At 38.5% G+C, this 21,625-nt stretch overlaps 1 protein-coding gene across 24 annotated transcripts in view; it reads left to right on the top strand.

The window, feature by feature from the left end:
- The window catches only part of DMD (dystrophin), a 2,220,167-nt gene that overhangs the window by 2,180,885 nt on the left and 17,657 nt on the right, over positions 1-21,625 (top strand). For all 24 annotated transcript variants that reach the window (XM_006724469.4, NM_000109.4, XM_011545467.2 and 21 more), the window contains 2 exon segments: positions 10,986-11,229; positions 12,090-12,213. In XM_006724469.4, coding sequence (XP_006724532.1) covers positions 10,986-11,229; positions 12,090-12,213 — 368 coding nt within the window.

Genomic DNA, 21,625 nt, shown 5'->3' with positions numbered 1-21,625 from the left:
AAGAAATCCCATCCCCATTTTCAAGTCACTCCTCGTTTCTCCTGCAACTACTCTTTTCAGCCCTAGCAGTAGACAATCCCTGATCTACTTTCTGTCTCTATGGATTTGCTTATTCTGGACTGTTAATGTAAATGAAATAATACAATATAAAGTCTTTTGTGACTGGCTTCTTTCACATAGCGTAATCTTTTAAAATGGTATCTATATTATAGCCCGTATTAGTATTTCATTCTTTCTTTAATGCTGAGTAACATTTCATTGTATGGATATACCACATTTTTTAATCTATTCATTACTTGATGGACATTTGGGCTATTTCTACTTATTGTCTGTTATGGATAATGCAGCTATGAACATTCATGTACAAGTACCGGTAATTATTTTAAAGAAGTTATTCTGGGCTGGGCATGGTGGCTCACACCTGTAAACCCAACACTTTGGCAGGCTGAGGTGGGAGGATCACTTGAGACCAAGAATTTGAGACCAGCCTGGGCAACATGGGGAGATACCGTCTCTACAATTTTTTTTTTTAATTAGCCAGGCATGGTGGCTCATGCCTGTAGTCCCAACTACTCAAGAGGCTGGGGCTGGAGGATCACTTGAGCCCAGGAATTCAAGGTTACAGTGAGCTATGATTACACCACTGCACTCCAGCCTGGGTGACAGAGCAAGGCCCTGTCTCAAAAAAAGAAAAAAAAAAAAAAGATTCTATAGTTTCTGTCATTGTAATAGAGGAGGCCATAGGATCATATATGGCAAGAGTATATAGCAGTGCATGCCAGGGAGTGAAAAATAGGCCATCAAATTGAAGTTACTGGGAGAACTTAAGACTAAGTCTAACTACGCATGAGGGATTGAAGCCGGGACACACAAAGCTTAAAATTATGATTCTTCTAGAGACTGTTACGGCTTTTTGCTGACCACAGACAATGAAAGTTTGATATTTTGCTGTATTTGTCTGAAAATGGAAACACACTTTTCCCAATGGCAGTATTCCTGAGGACTAGAGTTCTTCACCTCTAAAACCTCTCCAATCCTAGTTTTTCCTTTTGGCTGATGATGACCAGCCACTGCCATTTTTGTCTTAGGTTTTGTTAGTCTGTCTTATTTCCAGTTATAAGTGGTTAAAATTTCTTATGAATTCTTCTTGTGTTGAACTTTTGATTAATACATTTAGTCTATAGACAGTAATGAATTAGCATCTGATCAGGAATTTGTGAAAAACATCTCAGTCATTAAAGATTAAGAAACTGAAGCCAATTAATATTGTCATGTTCTGTCTCTTGGAACTTGAGCAAGATACAGATCTACGTGTCAATGACATATCCAGAAAATAGACTCCACCTAGATACATTAACCCTGTACCCTTGGTCCACATATTTTATTTCAGCAATGATCCATGGACATATTATAATTTGACAGTTTCATCACATACCTAGCGTATTGGGTCAAATCAAGGAAATCTCATCCTAGTGATCTTAACTCAGTGATTTCATTTTGCCCAGATGTTCAGCTGTGATAAACTTTACTAAGGCACAGATGATGGATGATACACAATAATTCCAAAATTTGGGGGTGGCTACAATGTGGCTAGGGGCTAGAACTCAGGTATCTACAGGACAAATACTGAGTGATTAGTCACTTTCTAAGCGCTAGATATGCATATGTTCTGCCAAGCTCAGTAGGTCTAAGTAGATTGCTTCCATTTCAGATAATTAAGTGCTTTCTTTTTATAGGAAGTTTTTAGCACATCTGAGGTTCTAAATCCAAAAAGTAAATAATATATAGAGAAAGAAGTAATAACAATAATAATAGTAACCAACATTTATTGAACACAGTATGGGCTGGGCATGGTTCAAAGAAAGTTTGACATATAGAATGTCGACCATACTGGCTTAATAATCCTCATAACTGAATTAGTGCTTAAGTCAGTTGCCCAGCCTCAGCAAGCAGCAGAGGCAAGTAAGTCATAAATCAAGATCTTCTGAATCCAAGACCATCTCTCAAGCCTTGTTCTAATTCTCTCCTCAGCCATGGATGGTGAAAGGCACCACAAAGGCAGCGTGTCAAAAAGTGGCATTGTTCAACCTTTCCCCTGATGGGGCAAAGCTTTTATTTTTTTCCTTTACGTTCTTTGACATCTGTTTTAAAATGCAGATATCACTAGAAGAAATGACAACTTTATTATAAAATCCCAGTAAAATGTAAATGTCTTATATAAAACCTTTATACTGAGCAAATTTCAGTAGGAAAGGGCTTGGAAGTAAGGCTCTGAATGTTTTAAAGGGGGACAGTGCTAAGAAATGATTAGAAACAAGAGCCTGGAGGGGTCCTGCCATTTTTACTGTTTTGCTTAAGGCTGACCTAAAATATGCATAGTCTTACTTCTCACCCTGTGAGCTTATCCTTATTAATGTCTTTTTCCACCTAGTTTAGGGGTATTTTTGAATTTGTGTTTGATAAAGATGTCTAAAGCTGTACTGTAAAATTTTATTGTCACTTTTTTTTTTAAATGGAGTCTCCCTCTGTTACCCAGCTTGGAGTGCAGTGGCATGATCATGGCTCACTGCAGCCTCAACCTCCCAGACTCAAGCGGTCCTCCCACCCCAGCCTCCTCCTCCTGAGTAGCTGAGACTACAGGCATGTGTCACGACATATGGCTAATTTTTTTCAATTTTTTTGTAAAGATGGTGGGGGTGTCTCCCTATGTTGCCCAGGCTGGTCTTGAACTCCTGAGCTCAAGTGATCCTCCCACCTCAACCTCCCAAAGTGCTGGGATTACAGGTGTGAGCCATTGCACTGAGCTTTATTGTAATTTCAAGGGCTCAATGCAATTTCCAGTTTTTAAAGTTCATCTTGCTTGCAGAATTTGTCTTTCATTTAAAAAAAAACTGCTGATTGGCTACATTTATAGCTGCTGTAATAGTTCTGTATGATTTACTACATTTGCCTGAATTTAGATTGGTGGATATGATTTAGCTGCTTTTAATATTATATGAGGGTAAAGCCAGATTTCTTTGGATCTATTCCTTTTAGATGGCAATCTTTGTAGTTGTTCTACTTTACAAAATAATCCCTGTGTGTGCTCATGCTTTGGTATACAGTTAAATGTATGATACTGTTAAGAAAACATTGATCACTGGAAAGTGACCTTCATTTCTTTATTTCATAAATATCATTATACAACTATATAACTACACGTAGTAGGGAAGCTCCATTTAAAGAGTAGATGACTTACACTGAAATCATTTGACCTTTGTAAATTAGTTTAAATTACACAGAGATTGTTGTAATGTTCTTTATCATACATAATAGTTACGATTGCTAGAGAGGCACTCATAAATCATTGCTAAAAGGGCCAGCTGCTTTCATGTTTTCAGCAGGTTGAGTTAAGGGAACAAGCCTTGCCAATTTGATTAATCTCTTATGTCCATTAGTTGGTTGGGAAGTTTTTTTGAGTGTAAATTTGTATGTAGACAACAGAGTTTATATTCTTTATGACATAAAATTAATCAGATATATCTACATATTTGTAGAATGGGGGGATTCTTAGCTCTATAGAGAATAAGAAATACTGGATGGAAGACTTTTTTTAGGATGACTGGCTACAGGAAGAAATTGTAGTGACAGAAGCCATGTGTATTGAATTTGAATTAATGTTCCTTAGGGAGCTACCAGAGAAATATAATTTACAAGATAATCAAGAACGTAAATAGATTCTCTGTGGAGTCGTTGTCTGATCACTGACATATATTCATCTGTATTGAAATGACTTCATGACTACATTCTAACAATTAGAGAATCATTAGGGGTGAGATGTACGTGTATACCTTCAAGAAAAGCAAAATATGTATTGGTAATAATTGACAGCTGTTAAAACGAGTGCATTGTGTACTTGTTAAACATTAGAGGCTGGGCATGTTGGCTCACACCTGTAATCCCAGCACTTTGGGAGGCCGAGGCAGGCGGATCACGAGGTCAGGAGATGGAGACCATCCTGGCTAACACGGTGAAACCCTGTCTCTACTAAAAATACAAAAAAAAAAAGCCGGGCGTGGTGGCGGGCACCTGTAGTCCCAGTGACTCTGGAGGCTGAGGCAGGAGAATGTGAACCCAGGAGGCAGAGCTTGCAGTGAGCTGAGATCGCACCACTGCACTCCAGCATGGGCGACAGAGCGAGATTCCGTCTCAAAAAATAAAAAATAAAAAAATAAAAAAAAAACATTAGAATAACTTACCTTGGAACAGTAACTCTGAGGGAACCTTGATCATTTATGAGAATGATCTCCCCTACGTTAATACTGCATCAAAACTAACATTATGGTATACCTCAAAAAGTATTGGCATAGATGTTTTTAAATATAAGAAAATTCAAATGCGTAATTGATAAGGGCTAAATGGCTCAATTTCCCAACCCCTAACAAAAATATGCCCTAACACAGCTCTGTGACTATGACTGCATTTATTAGAAAACATTTAGTAAAAATCATCTCTAGTTCAAACCCTCCAGCATCAGTTCTTCTTGATAATTCTCATGAACATTTAGAAATACCTTAAAAGAGAATTCAGACTCAAATCAAAAAACCTTATTTCATTTGGTTGCAGGCCAAGATACCTCTTTTAACCATTTCTGGCTTTTAGAATCCTTATCATGACAGCTTGTCCTATCTCAGAGCTTCAGGAGGAAAAACTAGTCCCTCAAAATCAAGTTTGCTATTGAGCTTAATAAGAGGTTTCTGTATGTCATATGTTTGTTTAGAAGAAAAGCACTTGTTCGACTCATTTAATCCTGGCCTGATGAATTAAGGCTTGAATTAATACTGAGGGAACCTTGACTATACATCTACAAAATCAATGTGTCCTGGTAGGCTTCTGATTAAGATAACATTAGCTCTTGCTTGAAGGCATCTTTCTCTGCTCCTACCATTTATCCAGTGGTAGATAATATATGGAGTGAAAAATGAAAAAGACATAGCTGGGCTTTAAAGCAAGATGAACATCTCTGTGAACCAGAAATGTGAAAGAAAAAAAAAAAAGTAAGTGGGGCTAAATTAGTGGGCTTTCAGCTCGTGCTGTAGTAACAGGGATTAAAATTCTCCTTACAAGGTAGTGGCCCAAAGCCAGGATTACTATTTGAAATCAGAGCCCCACAAAAACACACCTAGAGAGAGACACATACACACTTACACTTAAAAGCAACATGAAAAGAAACAGTTTGCTGCAAGGGTCTACAGCTTATATGCAGCTATGGCCCTAATGCATAGAGCCGAGGGAAGAGGCAAAGATTCGCAGTTGGGAAAGAGAGCATCACAGCCTTGAAACCAGGACCTGAACCAATCTACCTACTGCCTGGCAATGAAATGAGTGATATCTCTGTATCACTCAGTGTAGGAGCTGCAAACTACCAACAGATGTGGCTCTAAACTCTAAGCCCCTGGGTATGGCTGGGAGAAGCCATAAAACCACCTGAGAGAGAGATAATGAGTTTAAAAAGAGAGGAAAATATTAAAGTACACACACATGAGAATAATAGAAAACATACACATGCATATGTATGCACATGCAAAACATCCCTTGCAAAATTTGTCTCCAAATCACGATCCAAAATACATGAAGAAATGGGATAGCACCCCCCACCCAAGTTAAACATCAAAAAGTGAATTAGGCTGGGAACAGTGGCTCACACCTGTAATCCTATCACTTTGGGAGGCCAAGGTGGGAGGACTGCTTGTGCCCAGGTGTTTGAGACTAGCCAGGGCAATGTAGTGAGGTGCCATCTTTACAAAAAATAATTTAAAATATATTAGCCAGGAGTGGTGGTACATGCCTGTAGTCCCAACTACTCAGGAGGCTGAGATAGGAGGATCGCTTGAGCCCAGGAGGATGAGGCTGCATTGAGCCATAATTGTGCCACTGCACTCCATCCTGGGCAACAGAGTGAGACCCTATCTCAAAAAAAAAAAAAGATGAATTAATTCTAGAAGAAAGCAAAATAATACACTAGTACAACAAAGATTTTTACTTACATTTAAGATGCTCAGACCAGGTGCAGTGGCTCACGCCTGTAATCCCAGCACTCTGGGAGGCTGAGATGGGTGGATCACCTGAGGTCAGGAGTTCAAGAACAGCCTGCCCAACATGGTGAAACCCTGCCTCTACTAAAAATACAAAAATTAGCTGGGCATGGTGGCAGGCACCTGTAATCCCAGCTACTCAGGAGGCTGAGGCAGGAGAGTCGCTTGAACCCAGGAGGTGGTGGTTGCAGTGAGCGGAGATCGTGCCACTGCACCCCAGCCTCCATCTCAAAAAAAAAAAAAAAGATGCTTAAAGGCATAAATAAGGGGTACCACTCGCTAAAATAACAAGAAACTAAGAAACAGAGATGGATGAAATGTAACTAGGTCTGAAAACAAAGATATCTTTGCCAAAAAAACTAGTCATTGAAGTTACTAAACTCAATATACAGGATAAATTCTAGACTTTGTCCTGTCAGAGAAGGCAAGGGAATTAGAAGATGATGCTGAGAATGTTACTGTGTACAACACTCACAGAAAAAGATAAGAAATATAAATGAGCAATTAGGAGAAATGGAGAATTGACCACAGGCTCTACAATATACCTTACTAGAATTTAGAGGTTTGTTTAGGAGTGTATTTGAGAGGTTTCAGAAGAAAATGGAGGAAATGGTAGAGAAGTAATATTTGAAGCTGTCATAGCTGAGAATCTTCCAGAATTGAAGAAGGATGTGAGTCTTGAAGGAAATGTGCTCCCAAGAGAAATTTCAAACATCTGGGAAGGAAAGAAAGGCCTGCATTGAGCAATTGATATTCTTTACAGCTCAGCTTTGGCTGATTAAAATGAGCCTTTTCTGTTTTCACTGGAAACCACCAAAACAGAAATGTAATGTGTTGTATATACCAAACCATGCCTCTTGAACAAGGGTCCTTATAAATAAATCATAAAAGAAGAGCCCTGTGGACAACTAAACCCACAGGATCAAGATACCAAGGAAGATCTCTCTAGAAAAGGCAGTCTCCTGTCAGCACCTTTGTGAAAAATAGGTGGGAAGACAGTAATGGCTTGTTGTACCATCTTGAGGTCCATGTCTAAAAACTGTTTTCAAAAGGAACACCATGGCTGCCCCAATCTGGTAGAAAGAAAAATTTGAATAGGATTCTACATAAAAAGTGTTGCCAGTTAGAACATTTTGTTGAAGTTTTCTTTTAATGAAGAGGGAAAAATAGAAAGTAATTCCTATGGAATGAGACCTTGTGAACATTGGATACTGCTTCAAGTTCACAGAAACATTGAACTGATTGCCAGTTAAGTTCTCAGAAATTAGATTTAATTAATGTGGACAGTTACATACATCGGTGCACACCCAGAAGACCCGTGTGCAGAATCTGACTGAAGGTGTACTTACTTCGATGAATCTCTTCTCATCACTGCTTTGTCAAAGCAGATTGCTATGAAATAAACTATACAAACAACTACCCTTGAAGGCTGATAGCAATAGGATTTCAATCAGTACAGATAGGAGATTCTATTTCTGTAGATGAAAAAGATCATACATTGATTTTCTGTGTGACTTTAAATAAATTCCTGGAAACCTTGTAATGTTAGGTACTAGGTAGAATGAAAAAAATGAAGCAAAACAAAACAAAGAAAAAAACCAGAGTAGATTGGGTTTTCTTTCTGCTTCCATGTGGAGATCTAGCCTTTTGAAACTGAGCATTTTGGAAGACATGCCGTCCCCTGTGGAATGTTCATTCCGAGTATGGGACAACAGAAAATATTTAGCAGACCTGGTGATGAGATGATCTTGCTTTCTCAAACTGGACAATGGGAAAACTCTTCTTGGCTACTCACTACTTACATTTCATCTCTTTTCTCATTGATATAGATCTCCCACATTTGTGGATAGGAATTTCTCTCACCTGATGAAATATCATCTGTGAACAACAGAAATCTGTCATCTTATTTTGGTATTTATCACAAGTAGAAGAAAGATGTCAAGAGTTCTAATCAGTCACTGGATATCAAATATCAGAAATGTCCTCAATTGGAATTGTATTCTCAGTAAATCCTAAAGCATTTGGGACCTTCACATGTGCTAATACTGTTTATATTTATTTGGAAATTAACCAAATATAACCAAAAGACAGTGGAATAACCATAGAAACCTTTAAATGGAATAAAATTTATGGCAATCAACATTATTAGGAAGAAAAAGTATACTACCTAGAAACAGTGCAAGAACAACGAGGATCTTCTGTGCATCTAACTATATAGGTCTAGAAATATATAAAGTGAATTATGATAGAATTAAAAGGAGAAACTAACAAATCCATAATTATATCTCAACACTCATCTAACAAAAATTGATAGCTACAAATAATCAAAAATTAATAAAGATATGGACAATTTTAACAACAAAATCAGCACACTATGTATTTAGAGACTCCATCTTTCCAATGGAAAAATACACATTATTTCAAGTACTCAATGAACATTTTTAGAAAGTGACTGTGAACTAGGTCACAAAAAGAAGTATTGCTAAATTTCAAAGGATCAGTATCATACAGGGGTTCTCTGATTGAAACGCAATTAAATTAGAAATGCACTAAGAAGTGAAAATGGAAATATAACCACTGTGCTCCTAAATGACTATGGGTTAAGTTAAAAGAAATCACAGTAAGAATTACAAAACATAAGGCACTGAATTGAATCAGGTGATGTATATAAAAACTTTTGGTATATAATTAAAGTGGTACCAAGGAGGAAATGTATAACCCTAAATGTGTTCATTAAAAATAAAAAATCAATGACTTATTCAACCTGTAAAGCAAGAGGAAAAAAAAGAGTAACAAGTAAAACATTATTAATGGACATAAAATGAGACCATAGTAAGTAAGGAGCTTCACTGCATTCTTGGATGTGAAGACTCAATTATTATGAACTTAGTTCTTCCCAGTTTAACCTATGAATTCAATGTAATTCAAACTCAAAATTTCAACAAGCATTTTCATAAAATCAGAAAACCAAACACTAAAATCATGGAGAAGATCAAAGGGGTCAGAATAGTCAAGACAATTTTGAGGAAAAACAAAGTGGGCTGAGAAGGCCTATCAGACATCAATTGATTTAAAGCTGGAGTGTGGGATCTACCAGGGATATGCAGATAGAACCACAGACTAGAATACAGAGCTCAGAAGCACACCTGTATATTTATGGACACTTGATGTTTTGCGGAAGCATCGTTAGAGATCAGTGGGAAATAGATGGACCATACAATGAATGAGGCTGGCTTCATAGTTTATCCATGGGGGAAAAGTAAAATTAGATCGCATGTTCACGGCAAGCACAAAAATAGATTCTGGGTAAATTCAAGTCCTAAATGTGAAAAACCAAATTTTAAACTTTAAAATGTAGGTGTAAGAAAAGATTTTCGTGAACAAAACATAAAAAGCAGAGAACATACAGGGATATGTTAAAATTTACATCTTTTATACCATAGGATGCCATAAGCAAAGTTAAAGATAAGCTACACTAAGATAAGGGTAGAAGATCATATTTGCCATGCACATAACTAACAATGGATTAGCATCTAGAACATATCCAAAGGTTTAAAAAGAAAAAGACAATCCAGCAGGAAAATGGGTAAAGGAAGCATGAAAAGCCAGTTAACATGGAAGAAGTCTAACCTTGCCAGTAATCCGGGATGTATGTGCAAATTAAAATGCACCCATCAGGTTAACTAAAACTTGAATGTCTGATAACACCAAGTATTTGGTGAGGAGGTGGGCCAAATGGAAAACCTCATTCACTACTGAAGCGAGAGTAAATTGGTAAAAGCACCGATTTGTCACCCAGAGCGATTCGGTGACATGTAGCAATGTTGAAGATGTTGCTAAGATCCAACAATTCCACATCAAACTATATTCTGTAAAGAATCTCTTCAACAGGTATCCAAGGAGATAGGTATAAAAAAGAATTTCATTGTATCATTGTTTATAATAGTGAAAAGTTGGAAACAACCTAAATGTCCATGGACAGGAAAATGTTGGCATATTCAAGCAACAGAATAATAATACCTTATGGCAGTTAAAATAGCAAACTATTATGTATCGACCTGGAGAAATCTCCAAAATGGTGTTGAAGGCAAAAAGCAACTCTTAGAATGGTATGTATATTCTTAAATGTGAAGTTCTTAAATTTAAAGTTTAAAAACATGCAAAATAATGTTATTAGATTGAATCACATAAAATGGGTGTTTTTGTAGGTGAAAGAAAAATACAGGCAAACATCAGCATCTTTTTTAAGCTCAACCTAGTATTTGTTGATACATTCATGGTAACACTGGGCATGAAATTCAGTGTGGCATTATCTCCTTGAGGGCAGCGGGGAGGAGAGAATGGTATGGTGTTGAGGCGGGCATGTGAGGGAGCTTCTGCTTTGGCTGTTAACTTTTCTTTCTTCAAAAAACTTTTGAAGAAAATATGGCAAATGATAAACTTATCAAGGGGAGGTGATAGGAACATGGGTATACTTACTCCATTCTTATACATTTCTGTTGAAAATATTTGCTAATGTTTAGAGCAAACCAAAGTGTTGATAGAGGTATAAAATTTTTAATCTCATGACATTATAAAGAAATATTTACAAAGTGATTAAATCCTTTGCTGCTTACTTATCTGAACATACCAGTCGCGAGGCTTTTAGTGTAACATAAAAAATTGAAAAGCATGGCTCCCTTCACACACCAGGCAAAAGCTTCAAATTTTGTTTTGTTCTTTTAGCACTGGTAAGATTGTCATCATTAAAACCATTCATTAGTGCCTCTTTTGCTTGCTGTTCTTCGGTGGCAGTCAGATGCATCTATCTACCATGGTATATAAAATTTGGTGATGATATTCAAATTACTTTTTTTCTTCTTTTTCTTTTTCTTTCTTTTTTTTTCTTTTTTACTTTTTTGATGCCAATAGGAATCTGCAAGCAGAATATGACCGTCTAAAGCAGCAGCACGAACATAAAGGCCTGTCCCCACTGCCGTCCCCTCCTGAAATGATGCCCACCTCTCCCCAGAGTCCCCGGGATGCTGAGCTCATTGCTGAGGCCAAGCTACTGCGTCAACACAAAGGCCGCCTGGAAGCCAGGATGCAAATCCTGGAAGACCACAATAAACAGCTGGAGTCACAGTTACACAGGCTAAGGCAGCTGCTGGAGCAAGTGAGGAGAGAGATGGGATTTTTACAAACATTCATTTTTCCCTCTTAAACAAAACTAAACCTCAGAGAGCACTTTTTATAGGTGCAACAAGCATCAATTCTTAAGTGCTTGGTATGTGCCTGCAAAGTGATAGTATCAAAGGATAGAAGTAGAGGAGATAGAAAAACTAGTGTGTCTTTTTTGTATTTGTCCAATATTGTTTCCTACCAAAATGGTTTTTTCTTGACCAATTTGAAATACATCTTGGGGAAAAAAACGCCTAAAGGTTTCCACTAGTTCTCTAAAAGTGAATATTTCACTTCTTGAAATGGAACTATTTCATTTACAATTAGTTATATTTTCTGGTATACCTTTGTGTTTTTTTTCTCCTAATCCCTAACACATAGTTCTTTAAGCCTCCATCGAAAACCTAGCAAGATACTGCATTGTAAGAGGACCTACCTGGACATAGTTCTGGCTTTCTGGGAATTTTAAATTTTTCAATTATGTTCTCTCTATCTTGTTACTTAATACTTCACAAAGATATGAATCTTCCATTACAGTTTTGAGATCTCACATAGTCTCATCATTCACACATGACCTTCTAAATCTTCCAGTTATTTAATGTAATGATGTATAGTCTCATTCCAGTGTAGCTCTGATTTTTTTCTCAAATTTATAAGGGAGCACAATTCAGATACAAAGACAGTTTCTATGGATTATATCAACAGTGAAATATCCCAAATTAAACAATCTTTGGGAGGGCTTCTAAAGTAGGAAGGGTCAAAATTTATGAGTCCTGAGTGTGTATCATATTTTGAAATTTATACATTTGTATGTTTATTATGAAAAGTAATTCTGTTTTCTTTTGGATGACTTAGCCCCAGGCAGAGGCCAAAGTGAATGGCACAACGGTGTCCTCTCCTTCTACCTCTCTACAGAGGTCCGACAGCAGTCAGCCTATGCTGCTCCGAGTGGTTGGCAGTCAAACTTCGGACTCCATGGGTAAGTGTCCTAGCTACTCTCAGATTTTGTTGTCTGAAGAAAGGTAGAGTCGTATTACAGGGACATGAATATTTGGCCGTAAGTGTTTGACTCATCTTGGTATCAGGGAGCCACTGAAAATCATATACCAGGCGAAAAAAGTCTAAAAAGAAAATTCTAAAAAGGTGTATTCTGGCAGCTCTATCTGGCCCACAGAAAACTTGTATAGGTGAGAAGACCAGTTAGGAGGCAATTGCCAAGGCCAAGATTGGTGAGTTCTGAGGGCCTGCACTTGAGAGATGTGGGAGGAGAGGACTGTGAGACTATTCTATAAAAATAGACTTGCCAGGGGGCTGGGCGTGGAGGCTCACGCCTGTAATCCCAGCACTTTGGGAGGGTGAGGTGGGCGGATCACAAGGTTAGGAGTTGAAGACCAGCCCGGCCAATATGGTGAAACCCTGTCTCTACTAAAAATAGAAAAATTAGCCAGGCATGGTGGTGGGCGCCTATAGTCCCAGCTACTCGGGAGGATGAGGCAGGAGAATCGCTTGAGCCCAGGAGGCGGAGGTTGCAGTGAGCCAAGATGGCACCATTGCACTCCAGCCTGGGCGACAGAGCAAGACTGTGTCTCAAAAAAAAAAAAAAAAAATAGAGTTCCCAGGGTCTGGGGACTGAGTGCAAATTGTAAGAAGAGGAATGAAGGGAGAGGATTTGGTTGGAAGAAGATAGTGAAACTTCTGATTGTGGACATAATGTGTTTGAGAAATTGACAGGTCTTCTAAGTCATGTCCCAAAAGAAATTAAGATACAGATCTATACTTGAAGTAAGTGGGCAAACTGGAGAGATTTGAGAATGAGTTTCATAGAATTGATTGCTGAAGGGTGTGAGATGAGAAATCTATAAAATCTATAACACAGGTGCTTCGATCCAGTGCCTTGGAAAAGACCTCCATTTGGGTAATGGGATAGTAAAGGATGGATAAGTAGGGAGGTTCAAGGAAGATGTGACAAAAAGGTGAAATGCTAAAGAGAGCTCAATGGAAATTAAAATAAATCACAGTCCATTGGGTCACTATAAATGCATTGGGTAATTTTGAGAAACCATTTTAGGCCAAGAGAAGGGAAGGTGGAAAACTTCTGTTTCAATGAAATGAAAGACTAGGTAATCTTAAAATGAATGAGGATTAAGGAAAGTGAAGACAATTTTGAAACATTACCAAGTAAGAAGGAAGCCTTAGGCAAAAGTTGGATGAATTTGTTGAGGAAATGGTCCACATGTTCTGTTCTCATTCTTAGCAATGTTCTCTGCCTAGGACTAGGTTCTAAGAAAGGTGGAGCTGATGAGGCATAAATGATCAAAGGTCAAAACAAGAGTAGGGCATTTTACAGTGGTAATGAATGGCTAGGACAGGGGTTCCTAGCCAGCTGCTCATTGGTTTTTCCTGCTGTGTCTGGCTAGACAATAGAGGGTTTTATGAAGGCCACAAATACTTGGTCCCCCTTCCTCATTTCTCTTTCTCTGTAAAGGCCCAGTAGGAGTCAGCTCCATCCTCTCTCCTTACTTTTCCCTGGGACCTAAACTGGTTATATACTTGGTCCTCTCAAATCTTACCTCACAGAATAGAAAAGACCTGTGACTCCTTGATTCCATACACTTACAGCTCTATTGCCTGATATGATGATGTGTTCAGGAATTCATTTCATACTTGAGCTCTTCCATGAGGGTAGAATAAAGGGAGGCAAAGTGCCTTAACCAAAATGGATAGGACAGAAAGGAAAAGTCAGGGGTGTGGGTGAGTTTTATGGCGAAAAATTTGGAGATCACAGTCGGGAAAATTCAAAAGTTGGATATCATGGAAGTAAAATACTTTCAAGCAATTTCTACATCTAACATGGTGCCTCCCAGCGAGCTGCTGAAGATTTTACTTGGAGATCACTGAGGGGTAGGGAGTACAGTTCATGGAGTTGATGAGACCAACGTTGCTGAGCTTATCAGCAGAGGGGTGAGGTCCAGATCCTGACGACAGTGGTAGATCAGGATGGAAAAGATGTTGAAGAAGATGGACGAGGGCTCTGAGGAGATGAACATTTCTGAGGAAAGAGACAGGGTAGTTGAAATAAATGTGATGAAGTTCAAGAACCTGGAGCAGTGGGAAGAGGCACATCCTCCTCTGGAGAAGCCAAATCTTGTAGGAAAGCCAGGTTTTGATTTTTTTGAGAAGGAAAAGGATATGTTTGAGGTTATTTTCCTGAATTTACTACACCTCCATGATTTAAGGCAATCTCTGTGTCAGATTATCTCCCTCCACCTGAGATCTGAATATAGCTAATAAACTGTTGGGATTGTAAATGACAACACACTACATGAAAAACAACTGTATGCATTTGCAAAGTCTGTAAATTCTGAAAACAACTGAGCTTTAGTACCTCTTATTTTTTTCTACTTCAGGATTTTCCCCCTTTTTTAAGTAAGTAAAGCATATGAAACTAAGTTACATATTTTAGTGGTCAGATTCAGAGCCCTGGGTGCTTAGAAGCATTAATAATTATTTAGGTCGTTGACAATGGCGAATAGGCAGCATACTCGTTAAAGCACTCAAATTAAAGTGCACATTAGGATGTGGTCCTGATGATCTGTGGAGCTAAAAAGATCATGGTAGAACTGAATACCAGGACAAAAGTGCTATATTCCAATGGCTAAGCTAAGAGATAACTTGCTGGCATAAAATGGATAAGCTGTGTTAAATTTGTCCTCTGAAAGAAAAGACTGAATTCAAGGGTACTTTTTCTTGAACTGTGTATTAATCTGTTTTCACACTGCTATAAAGAACTACCTGAGACTGGGTAATTTATGAAGAAAGAGGTTTATTGACTCAGTTCCACAAGGCTGGGGAGGCCTCAGGAAACTTACAATCATGGGGGAAGGTGAAGGGGAAGCAAGGCATGTGCTACATAGCGGCAGGAGAGAGAAAGCGAGGGGAGAACTGCCACACTTTTAAACCATCAGATCTTATGCGAACTCACTATCATGAGAACAGCATGGGGGAAACCGCCGCCATGATCCAGTCACCTCCCACCGGACCCCTCCCGCAGCACATGGGGATTACAATTCAACATGAGATTTGGATGGGGACACAGAACCAAACCATATCGAACTGCATAAGCTAACTTCATTTAAAAAGGAAAAAAGCCTTACCGTCTTCTTGAAGGATGCACACAGGTGTTTAAATAAATGCAGTGTATATACTTGGGCTTTGAAGGTTTGAGATACAAGGCTGGGATCTGCTGAACCACATTCTGGATAGAGCTGCATTCTTTAAATATGCAACCCCGATGACTGATTTTCTTTTAAGTGAAACATGAGACAAGTCATATTAGGTGATGTGTCTAAAGAGTCAACATATTTCCTCAAGCCATGAAATACTTATCACTGAGTCTCTATGTACCATTTGTATTCTGTACAGTTCTTACTGAGACAATGTGCTAATGAAACGTACATTCTATTGGAGGAAGCAAATACAGAACAAAATAGCAATTAACAATGTTTATCCCCTATTGGCTCTCATGGGCTCCATATACAAATCTGTGATGTCCAGACAACTCCTTATCTCTGATGACTCCTAACTTTCCACCAGATTACTGTTTTTTGAAGCATTTTATATTTTATTGATTTAAAAATTAAACTGTTCCTTTGCTTTTTAAAAAATTTATCATGTACATTTGAGGTTTATGACATAATGGCTCCCTAGCTTTTTATTTAGAACAATTTCAAACTTATGGCAAAACTGCAATTAATTCAACAGTTTGCCACATTTGCTTTATAGCTATTTATTTATGTACTTTTACATTCATGTGTTGTTAAATGGATTGCATATATTTAGATTAACATGTATATCTGTATGTTAACATATTTTTATATACTGTATATGTTTATATTTTATGTGCATATTTAATCATATTCATGCGTGTATATAGTTTGTGGATTTTTTTTTCACTGATCCACTCAATGGTTAGGTTTCATACATAACACTTCACCCCTAAACACTTGAACACGTGCCTTCTAAAATGAAAGATATTCTTGCATAAGCACAATTATCATGCTCAAAAAGAACAATACTGTTATATAATGTAGAATTTAAATTCAAATACCTCCAATTCTGCCAATTAATATTCTTCATAGCGATATTTTACATTCAGGATCAGTGATGTCCCTGTAGTCTCCTTTAATCTGAAGCACTTTCCCAGCCTCTTTAAATCTTTCATGACATTGATATATTAGAAGAGGTCGGGCTAGATGTTTTGTAGAATGTCCCCCAATTTGAATTTGTCTGCTTGTATCCAAGTGATTGGGTTCGGGTTAAATGTTTTATGCCAGATTACCATATAGGTAAGGTATCCTCAGTACATCACATCAAGGTTTTCCTCAAGATTCTCCATCCCCTTCACCGTTCTTCACTCTCCCTGGGCGCTCCTTCCATACTTTGGCTTCTGCTATGCTGACAACTCTTAAGTCAAGATTTCCAGCCCAGACCTCCCACCTGAGCATCTTCTGGATAAAATTATAAATAAAAATATAGCCTAATCTGAAATCATGATCAACCTTTGGAGCATCTCTTCCAATTTCCCAATCTATACAAAGTCATTTTCTACCCCTTCTTCCTTTACCTGCCTTCCTTAGCTATGTTCCACCACCATCAATCCAGTCACCAAGGTCAGTGTGTTTTGCTACTTATGAAAAAGAGCAAAATTCTTCAATTCAGCTACTTCTGCCCAAATTTAGCCCTCATCATGTGTTACCTGAACAGACAATATGAATACTTTCCTAATTGGTTCCTCTGCCTTTGGTCTCTCTCCCTTTCTAAGCTATCTTCCAGAAACTTCAGTTCCTCTTCTACCATTCAAATTATATCATATTATTCCCCTCTTTAAGCATTTTATGCCTTCTGTTTGACAACAGAATAAATGTGCTCTTTGGCCTTGAGTACATTATGTTCTTAACCTGAAATATAGCATCCTTTCTTTTCACTCAGTGAGTTTTCTTTTGGAACTTAATCATGCATTATATCATTCTGGTTTTGTTGTTGTTGTTGTTGTTGTTGTTGTTGTTGTTTCTTTTGTGTGAGACGGAGTCTCGCTTTATTGCCCAGGCTGGAGTGCAGTGGTGCGATCTCAGCTCATTGCAACCTCCACCTCCTGGGTTCAAGCGATTCTCCTGCCTCACCCTCCTGAGTAGCTGGGATTACAGGCTCGCCACCATGCCTGGCTACTTTTTCTTGTATTTTTAGTAGAGACAGGGTTTCACCATGTTGGCCAGGCTGTTCTTGAACTCCCAACCTCAAGCAATCCACCCGCCTCAGCCTCCCAAAGTGCTGGGATTAAAGGCATGAGCCACCACACCCAGCCATGTTTTCAGCCAGTTACTAGTACTTCTTTCTTCTGCCTACAACTCCCTAGAACTTAAGCTCCTTAAGGACAGGATGTAAGTCTTGCTCATTGTCGTTACTGTATGAGGATACTCTGTGCAACAAACAATCAGTAAAGTGCTTGTTGAGTTAATATTTTAGAAATCAAGCATAATACATTCTTGTGTACACATGGAACAGCCCACACGTTTAGGAAATTTAGCTACTAGTTTCAGTATCTTTCACCACCATTCACAACTGATCAGCTAATAATCAGCAACAACATTGTACACCATAATATGTTAAAGGTGTTACACACAGAATTTATGTGTGAAATTGAAAGCATCGGTCCTATATCATATGGAAAAAAATTAATTGTAGCCAAATGTTGGGTATTGGATACATCAGTGTGCTTTTTCTTCTAAAAAATACTGGAGAAAGGCAGGAAATACACAAGTACTAAGATAATAACACATCAAGTCGGAAACTGGTTAAAATCCAAAGAAAAATGTTGGTGGGCGTATTTGTTCATACACAGCCCCCTTTATGAGAAAAAATAATTTCTTGTACACAGCTCCTTTTTAAAAAAAAGAGAAAATAATTTGTTTAGATTCAGACAAAAACACAGGAGTAATTCTTGTGTCTATTCTGCATAGGCTGCGTAGGTTCTGGCTAAAATCACTTTTTAAGCAGATAGAACCATTATCAGCGTTTGAATCAAAGGGAAGTGAGTCAGATGGGATATCTTCCCTTCAAGAAAGGGATCTGAAACCATCGTTATATTTCAGAAGACTGAAGAATATCTTGCCATGGCAAAGCATTCCTTTTCTTTTTTCTCGGATTAAATTGAGTCATCCCACTTCTTTTTTCTTCACTTCAGCAGTGATTAAAGGAGACTATCATATTTTGCTATATCACGGTACTATTTAACTTTGACTATGTCTTTCCTTATTTTAAAAAATGTTTCAGTGATTTATTTGGACCACAATCAGACAAGCCAGGAAGACCAAATAGCTAATAATCCAAAAAACATTATTTTTCTCTTTTTATTATTTCAGTAGTTTTCAGGGAACCCAGGTGGTGTTTGGTTACATGAATAAGTTCTTCGGTGGTGATTTCTGACATTTGGGTGCATCCATCACCTGAGCAGTGTACACTGTACCCAACGTGTAGTCTTTTATCCTTCACCCCCCTCCCACCCTTCCCCCCAAGTCCCCAGAGTCCATGGTATCATTCTCATGCCTTTGCATCCGCATAGCTTAGCTCCCACTTATAAGTGAGAAAGTACAATGTTTGGTTGTCTATTCCTGAGTTACTTTACTTAGAGTAATGGTCTCCAACTCCATCCAGGTTGCTGTGAATGCCATTATTTCATTCCTTTCATGACTAATATTCCATGGCGTGTGTGTGTGTGTGTGTGTGTGTGTGTGTGTGTATATAAACACCACGTACATACTGCATTTTCTTTATCCACTCGTTGGTTGATGGGCATTTAAGCTAGTTCCGTATTTCTGCAATTATGAATTGCGCTGCTATAATCTTGGTATGCAAGTATATTTTTCACATAATGACTTCCTTTCCTTTGGGTAGATATCCAGTAGTGGGACTGCTGGATCAAATGGTAGTTCTACATTTTAGTTCTTTAAGGAGCCTCCATAGTGTTTTCCATAGTGGTTGTCCTAGTTTACATTCCCACCAGCAGTGTAAAAGTGTTCTGTTTTCACCACATCCACACTGACATCTATTATTTATGCATGTTTGTGGAAATCACCTTGGAGTAGAGTCAAGTTTAAGTGTTAAAGCATTGCCATCAACTAAGTTTAAAATCCCCCAAAGACTAGCAATATGCTATTTGAGCAGGCAATGAATCTGTGAAGTAGGGATAAGGGCTGTGCAGGTCTCTAGTGTGCAACTGGAACTCAGTATTTTCTTGTTGAATAAGTGAAAAAAGTGAAAAGGTGTTTTTGTTTTTGGTGATGAGGGGCTTGTGATGACAGGTATTATTGTTAGAGTCAGAAATATTTTGAGGTTGCCTATTAATATGGTTTGGCTCTGTGTTCCCACCTAAATCTCATCTCAAATTGTAATCCCCACGTGTCAGGGGAGGGACCTGATGGGAGGTGACTGGATCATGAAGAAGTTTTCCCCCATGCTGTTCTCGTGATAGTGAGTGAGTTCTCAGGAGAGCTGATGGTTTTTAAAGTGTGTGGCACTTCCCCCTTCTCTCTCTCTCTCTCTCTCTCTCTCTCTCTCTCTCTCTCTCTCTCTCTCTCTCTCTCTCTCTCCTGCTGCCATGTAAGAGGTGCCTTGCTTCCCCTTTGCCTTCCACCATGATTCTAAACTTATAATCATGAGGCCTCCTGAGGCCTCCTCACGCATCTGGAACTGTGAGTCAATTAAACCTCTTTCCTTTATAAATTACCCAGTCTCAGGTAGTATCTCTATAGCAGTGTGAAAATGGATTAATACACCTATTATGTTGTAGCTACATAGTGTATGATTAGACAAGCCATAAATATTATATCTGGCTTGTTTCATGCCCATAATAGTGTATCAGTCAGCTGTTGCTGCATAACAAATAACCACAAAATTCTCAAGTTGCATATTTCTCATTCACGCATCTGTTGTTTGGCTGAACTTTTGCTGGCAATCAGCTGGACTTGACACCAAGTTGTGGTTTGGGTTCAGGTCTGTTCAACATGTCTCTCATCCTTCTTGGGCTAGCAAGCTACCTGGGCCATATGCTTCTTGTGCACATAAACACAAGCGGGCAACCCCAACCAGTCAAAGACATTCTAAGCCTCTACTTTTGTCATGCCCGCTTACATTCCATTTTCCAAAGCAGGTTATGTGGCCAAATCCGAATCCCCAGGCCAGGGAAGTACTGTTTTCCCAGCTCTTGTTCACTCTGCTTTATCTACATTAGACTTCTTGCTGTGCTTGAGGAAGCCAGTCACACTCTCCTCTCAGAGTCTTTGCATTTGCCAATCCTTCTGTCTGGAGCACTTTTCCCTCAAATACTTGTGCAACTCATACCCTCCAGTTCTTAAAGCTTTTGCTCAACTGCATCTCATCAATGAGGACTTCCAAGACTCCACTTTCTGATGACTCTCATTGTCCCTTGCTAGCCCTCTCCTCAGAGTGTTCATCACCACTCAAGATACCTATATAGTTTACTTATTTACTTGTTAAGCCTGTGTGCCTCCTTATGAATGCGAGTTTCACAGAGAGAGTGTGTGGGTGGGGTTTGTTTGCTTATTGCTATATCTTCAGTGAACAATATGCCAGGCACTGTTCAACCATTTGAACAGTGCCTGGCATATATAGTTGGATTTTAATAAATATTTGAATAAATAAATGAATCTTACTGTTTTTAAACTTTTGTGGTTTTTAAAAGGCATTTTAAAAATCTGGGTTAGTATCAAATATTACAATGGTATTACTTTAACTTCAGGTTTCATTTAGCTGTTTTAACTTTTACAATATATTCTGACACAGAAAATATTAGGCATTAAGCATTTTTCAATGAGTTGATTCACTTCTACTCATGCACATATGTGATGTCTGATTTCGATTCTTAAAAAGAGATGAGCCTGGGCGTGGTGGCTCACGCCTGTAATCCCAGCACTTTGGGAGGCCGAGGCAGGTGGATCACGAGGTCAGGAGATTGAGACTATTCTGGCTAACACGGTGAAACCCTGTCTCTACTAAAAAATATAAAAAATTAGCCAGGCGTGGTGGCACGCGCCTGTAGTCCCAGCTACTCAGGAGGCTGAGGCAGGAGAATCACTTGAACCCGGAAGGCAGAGGTTGCAGCTAGCCGAGATTCCACCACTGCACTCCAGCCTGGGTGACAGAGCAAGACTCCATCTCAAAAAAAAAGAAAAAGAGAAAAAAAGCAATGCATTAAAACCATCTTGAGAAATCATGAAAATATGGAGAAAAGAAGAAAACAAGATTATACTCTACTTGTTTTTATACTACCTAGAATGTAATAGGCACTCAAAAAAATGTCTGAATGGATACAATTA

Source organism: Homo sapiens, chromosome X (genome assembly GCF_000001405.40).
Source record: "Homo sapiens chromosome X, GRCh38.p14 Primary Assembly".
Lineage (NCBI taxonomy): Eukaryota > Metazoa > Chordata > Mammalia > Primates > Hominidae > Homo > Homo sapiens.
This window is presented reverse-complemented; position numbering and strand designations above follow the sequence as displayed.